The sequence below is a fragment of the Homo sapiens genome, chromosome 3 (assembly GCF_000001405.40).
Source record: "Homo sapiens chromosome 3, GRCh38.p14 Primary Assembly".
In the NCBI taxonomy this organism is placed as follows: Eukaryota; Metazoa; Chordata; class Mammalia; order Primates; family Hominidae; genus Homo; species Homo sapiens.
In genome coordinates, this window is record NC_000003.12 from 180,983,442 (window position 1) to 180,990,169 (window position 6,728).

Here is a 6,728-nt window from a genome sequence, read left to right on the forward strand (position 1 = left end):
CACAAAGAGCAGATATACCTTTACTTTATAAGGCAGATAAATATTACCTCCACTATTTTTTTAACCTCAAAAGTCCTTGTATCCTCCAATAATTAAGAAACTTATGATGACTTAAGGAAGTTTAGACGGTAGGTAGTATAATTTATCATCTTAGAGCTACACATAAGAAATACTCCTGTTGAGAAATACATACTAGTTTATACCAGATGTTTTATACAGGTCCTCTTAAGATCCTTATATATTTTATGTTAGACAAACAGTAAGTAATTTGCCTTTAAACATCATTTAAATTTATTAGTGTATAAATTCTAAAGAGTCCAAATTAAATATGTTGATATTGAGAACATTTCAGTTTTCAGTTTTGCTAACAGGGTTTAAGCTTAATCATAACAATTGCAGAAGTTTGATTATGTCAAGAAATAGCCAACTGAAGGAATAATTTATAAATGGTCATTACCTTTAAGGGGCTAGCTGAATACAATGTAAATACTCATGCCTGTAATCCCAGTACTTTGGGAGGCTGAGGCGGGAGGACTGCTTAAACCCAGGAGGTTGAGGCTGCAATGAACTGTGATTGTACCAGACCTGTACTCTGAAATCTTTATCATACTATTTTTAATGCATGAAATAAAAATGGTTTATATGTACATAGAATACACACACACACACACCCCTAGGTCAATTTCTTAGGTCTCAGTTGTGGTTAAATTCACTTTTAAATACAAGGTTCCAAGTATCCAAGTTGCCAGGCCAGTTGCCTGTACCTGGAACAGCCTTTCCACCGAATAAGAAGAGTCCCTACTTAAACAGCTTAAGCTAATTTCCATCATACTATTTATCACAGTCTAATTACCAGTTTATCAGTCTCCCATTAAAGTGGGGGCTCCCTGAGAGCAAGGACTGTCATCTTCACTTTGCCTTGAAAAGTAGACATAGGTCCCAAATTATCTGCTAAATGAGTAATGAACAATATTTCTATTCAGAAGGTGTGTGCTTGCCCATAATTAATACGCAAATATTCTAAACTATAATCTGATTTAAAATCCCCAAATTTAAACAAGAAAATTATACCAAGGCTTTGAGATTTAGCTTGTGCTAAATCATTTTTTAAAATTGTAGCTCTGAGGCATTTTATTATAAAAACTTAGTACTCATATACATAAACTAATACGAACTTAAAATTCATCATACATTTACTTCATTTTTTAGCTTGACCTTCTAGTAAATCTTTAGCTTCATTGATTTTGGCTGCTATATAAGGAGATCCTCCTATAGGAAGAAAGAAAAAAGAACAGTTACAATATGGATTCTCAATTTCTGCTTGGTAAAAAGCTACTCTTGTTTCAAGGACTCCAATGCTTATCTGAGGGAGATTTAGCAGAAACAGTGTTTTAATTTTTAAAAAATAACCCTGACACTGCAACTGGATGACCAAATATATGGTAATATATGTGACCAATGAGAAATGAAGTAATTTACGTGGGAGATATTTCTACAAAAATAACACCTTTTTAGAAAGCTTAAACTGATAGAAATAGGATTTCTATCATATATATTAGATATATATGTATATGCCTTTGAACTGGTGTTAGCCTATTCATGATTACAGGTCATAAATGAACATCAATTATACCATGTTATTTTAATACCATGATATTCTCAGAGGCTTCTGAGCTGTTTACTGGAAAGATCCCAGTTTGCTTTACATCCTTTTTCTGTCCAGTTTTTCTTTTCCTGTTATCTACTGTCCCTTCACAATGTCATCTACAGCTGCTTTCCTACGAATCTGCTGGAGGAGTGATTCTCAAAGTATGGTCCTAAGACCAGCAAGAAATAACAGGAAATTTAGTATAAATGCATATTTATGGGGCTCCACTGCCGACCTACTGAGTCAGAAGCCCTCCATATAAAACAAGCTAAATTTCATAAAAGATACTGTGAAGTAGATATCAAACAATTATAACCCTGTTTAAAATGTCAAAACCCTTTTTATTAATGAAAGCCCTCTCCTGTATAAGTAAAAGGATACAAACACTAGAACATGAATTCTGTGGTCTATTTTTTGGTATTCAAAGAAATTCTTGCTTTCCTTCAACACAGCCAAGGCTGCATAGAAGTCTATCACAAACGAATAAATAAATCCCATAAGTTTCTATCTAGGTAATCTCCGTTTCAAGGTATCTAAAATGGATAAGGAAAAATTACATTTTAGTTTTACGAAATTTAACGTTTTAATTATAATAAATGTAGGCCAGAAAAACCCACAAAACATAGTAATAGTAGCACTTACATCTGCTCATTCTGTAAGTAAAGTTTTCACTTAATTTCTTTTAAGACACCAAAAATATATGGCTCCAGCCTAGGAGACAGGACTTACAGATTTAAGTGTTACCTTTCTAATAGCCAGGAATTTGAGATAAAATTATCCCATTAATAACTATTGGTCACACCAACAACATCAACGAGAATTTAATGACTACTTACCTTTGTCAGGATGATTTAAAAGCATAATTCGTCGATGAGCATCTCTTATTTTCCCTTTATTGGCAGTAGGGCTAATTAAAAAAAGAAATGGTATTTACTTCATCCTACTTCTGCATCACATCAAAAAACTGTACATAAAGGCCAATTAAAGACACTGTGAAACTGTAGTAAATTAACACAACAGTATGAAAAGCTGTTTAGAAACCTCAACACACCCAATGCGTATCCTAAATTGGGAAACTACTTAGAAAAGTAAGGCACTCTCAAAAATGTGTTGAACTTGCAGTACCCATTACAACAGTCCTTTTATTGATAAGAAACGCATGTTTAAGGATTTGAAAATGAAGAAGGAAGAGTTTTGTTTTTTTTTTTTTTTGAGATAGTCTCACTCTGTCCCCTAGGCTGGAGTGCAGTGGCTTGATCTTGGTTCACTGCAACCTCGGCCTCCCGGGTTCAAGCGATTCTCCTGCCTCAGCCTTCCGAGTAGCTGGGATTACAGGTGTGTGCCATTACGCCTGGCTAATTTTTGTATTTTAAGTAGAGACGGGGTTTCACCATGTTTGCCAGGCTGGTCTTGAACTCCTGACCTCAAGTAATCCACTGGCCTTGGCCTCCCAAAGTGCTGGGATTACAGACGTGAGTCACCGCGCCCGGTTGAAGGCAGAATTTCACCACAAAAAAAATGTCAGTTACAGAGAACAACACTGAACACTGTGATAATCTGCTGAGGAGTCTATCTTTAAATAAATGAAAAAGTGCCTGTGTTTTAGTAAACACTCTAGGAAAAAAGAAAAAGTGCTTAAGTGCTAGTGTGCCTTCTCATTTGAAGGATTGTTTACATCTTAAAAATAACATGAAGGAACAGTACAGTTTCATTGATTAGAATTGGTAATATCAATCTTCCTAGGACAAAATCCCCCATGACCCTCTCCTATTAAAGGAGAGAAGGTCTTTCTTATATTTCCTCATGGCTCTACAGTGGTAGAAAAATGCTAAAAATATTAGAGATTATTTTACCTTACACCTAGTATTAATGCTGCTTCCCGTTTTGTCATTTTGGGTTCAAACCCACCTCTATAATAGCCACCACTGAAGGCCTGAAAGAAGAAATGCATTTGTAAAGAAAGGTTAATAAAATAAAGTTGCTTTAAAAAAGACGTCTGGAAATATTCACAGAACTAAGAAAAACTAAGACATTTCAGAGGACTTTTAGTGCAATTCCCGAGGTATTTTAGCTAAAGCTGAATAAAGTTTATAAATAAGTAGCAACAAGTAGTATTTTAATGATCATTAAACAGATTCATTTTTTTCCAGTCAATATGAACTATCTTAGAAATATAAGACAAAATAACAGTGTCTGAAAGCCAGGTCTTCCGGGAGTAAAGGAAAGATCATTCCAAATTAGCCATATTCTAGATAAAAATCTGCAAGAAGTGGCTCAAGAACAGAAGTCTTTTGAGACAAGAGGTTCAAGTGTATTTGAAACAAGACTTTAAGATATATATACAGAAAATACCACTATTAGGTCCTCTGACCTTGCCATGTCAGAAATCATATTGGTAAAGCCTACAATCACTCTATTCTGTTACACTTAATCACAACATATTCAACAGGTGATCACAGCCAAATCTATTCTTAACTGTGACCACAGAGAGTATGACCATAACATCAAGCCAAACCCTATAGCCTAATTAACTAGAGTGCTACCTATGTATGATGTTTGGGAGTGCCAGGGCCACATGGTCAGATCGGATCACTTTAGAATCATATACCTCTGTGTGTGCGATGCAGAGCAGATGAAGGAAAACAAGAATATGTACAGATGATGCTGAAGGTGATGGTATGTGAAAAAGTGAAACTTGGGTCTAGTGGGGTACTAGAATTGTCAAAACCCCATCCAACTCTGTCACATATAACATCTGATGTTTCAGGGTAGCACCATCACAAAGTTCAGAACTTCTATACTCTCCTTGCAGGAAGCAGGAGAATGGGTCCAAAGCAATCACTTAGAACTTCATGGATATTTGGAAATTTACCCTTCCCTAAGTGTGGCTCTAGGTTTCAAATAGAAGCAGCAAAGAATTAACAAAGTCTTACAGATTTTGGTAGGCTTTGAAAAACTTGTTTTACTTGAGGCTCCATATGCTTCATGGCTTGCAAAACGTAACGGCCTAAAACCAAAAGCAACAGAATAAGTAAACTAAATCTCCAATCTCCCCGACTTCACTTCCATCCCCAAACCATAAACAAACCTGCAAATCCTGCAGCAGCAATGGTCAGTCCAACTGCTACCACTGTACTGGCCTGGTAAGGGGGAGAAGAGTAAATATTTACTTCTCTAATTCCCACCCTTTCTCATTTTGCCCATTCTTCCATCCCCAACTCATTACAAACTGCATTTTAATAGGAGAAACAACTTTTTTTTTTCTTTTTTTTTTTTTTTTTTTAAGAGACGGAGTCTTGCTATGTTGCTTAGGCTGGTCTTGAACTCCTGGCCTCAAGCAATCCTCCCACCTTGGCCTCCCAAAGTGCTAAGATTATAGGCATAAGCCACCATGCCTGGCAGAGAAACAACTTTTAAGGCGGAAATATTCTGTCCAGTAATCTTTAAAACTACTGCATCTGTTATGCTGAATGCATTAAAGTTACAGGATTCATCATATGGGAAAGAGGGCAAGTTCGACTTGCTTATTTATCTTTACAATAGTGAAAAAGATGATTCCCTCCCTTTGAAAACTTCTTTCATCACCAGACAAATTAAGTCACATTAAAGTTCAATCAAAAGTAGTGGAAATAGGCCAGGCGCGGTGGCTCACGCCTGTAATTCCAGCATTTTGGGAGGCGAGGCGGGCGTATCACTAGGTCGGGAGATCGAGACCATCCTGGCTACCATGGTGAAACCCCGTCTCTACTAAAAATACAAAAAAAAAAAAAATTAGCTGGGCGTGGTGGTGGGCGCCTGTAATCCCAGCTACTTGGGAGGCTGAGGCAGGAGAATGGCGAACCCGGGAGGCGGAGCTTGTAGTGAGCCAAGATTGTGCCACTGCACTCCAGCCTAGGCGACCGAGCAAGACTCTGTCTCAAAAAAAAAAAAAAAAATGTGGAAATAAGGTTTCTGCTACAGAAGGAAAAACTGTTTACAGACGGCTCCTGTAAAATTCTAACAACGCATTTTCGAGGCTAAACGTGGGCTAAACTAGGAGACTAATACCTTTGGCACTGCCCTGTTGTTTCCTAACAAGACAGGCCCAAATATGTTCAGGAAGCATGGAGAAGACATCTGTCAGCAAAAGCCAAAGAGAAGGACATAGCAAAGTGGAGCTAGTGCTGTGAAGATGTGTTAGGGCAAGGGCACTTATAATCAAATACGTTTCCACTAATCTCCGAGTCCATGACAGCCTCTGACCTTACAGGAGTTCCAGGCAAGCAACACCTGCAGAGCCCGTGCGGACAAGAAGCTGGAGAACCGTGCAGAAAGACGATGTAAAAACACAAACCCCCAAGAGAGCGAGCCAACAGGGTTGTGTCCTGGTGAGTGTGACTCCCCAATAACCGAAACCTCCCGCCCGCAGTCGCACTAAGGAGCACAACTTCAACTCCACACCTCCGAGGCGGGGAGCTGAGGTTGAGGCCTGGGCCGGAGGTCGCCAAGAAGACCGGAAGGCCGCACTCACCATGGCTCCGGCTGGGCTCCCTTGCTTCCACCGGGAGCACGGCTCATCCCAGCTCAGAGGCCGCGGCCAACACCTGCACGCCTTTACCAGAGAGCGACGCAACCCCCAACCTCAAGCACAGGCGCCCTACGCAACACGGCAGGAGCAGCCGCAAACTAGGCCGGAAAACTGTCGTAAAAGGGGACGCGGAGGAGAAGGAAAGTCGCTCAAGCAGTGGACAGAGCGGAGAAAGCGACTTCGGGTTGGTTGAAGGGTGGGCGGATCTCTTTATTTCTGGGTGTAGGGGTGGGGCTTCTCTGTGTTTTCTGTCCTTTGCTCCTGGGCGGTGGGTATTTGGAAATTCTTGCAGGGAAGGGCATGGGCAGCCTTACTCAGACCGATTTTTTCCCCCTACATCTTAGCACCTCGTTTTGCCTTTATTTTATGTTAATAATTGTCAAGGGTAATGAATGTAGTTAAACATGCTGTGACATTTCCACCACGAACCCAAACAAATATGTTGTAACCCAGTGTAGGAAACGAGATGCCCAGAAAAACAAATGAAACCAACCACACTGTGTTTCAGGGATT

General features: G+C 39.3%; 1 protein-coding gene across 6 annotated transcripts; it reads right to left on the bottom strand.

Moving 5' to 3' along the window:
* Positions 268–6,397, bottom strand: DNAJC19 (DnaJ heat shock protein family (Hsp40) member C19). 6 transcript variants are annotated; one of them, NR_033723.1, is made up of 6 exons: positions 6,159–6,333; positions 4,737–4,788; positions 4,582–4,655; positions 3,557–3,581; positions 2,485–2,555; positions 268–1,269 (listed from the first exon to the last, which is right to left on the bottom strand). NR_033723.1 is itself a non-coding variant. In NM_001190233.2 (6 exons), the coding sequence occupies exons 3-6, from the start codon at positions 4,633–4,635 to the stop codon at positions 1,199–1,201; spliced, it is 276 nt and encodes a 91-aa protein (NP_001177162.1). In that variant the 5' UTR covers positions 4,636–4,655; positions 4,737–4,788; positions 5,891–6,397; the 3' UTR covers positions 268–1,198. The 6 variants fall into 6 exon arrangements, 2 of the variants coding, with proteins under 2 accessions (NP_001177162.1, NP_660304.1); NM_001190233.2 differs by having other exon boundaries at positions 3,502–3,581; positions 5,891–6,397; NM_145261.4 differs by having other exon boundaries at positions 3,502–3,581; positions 6,159–6,295.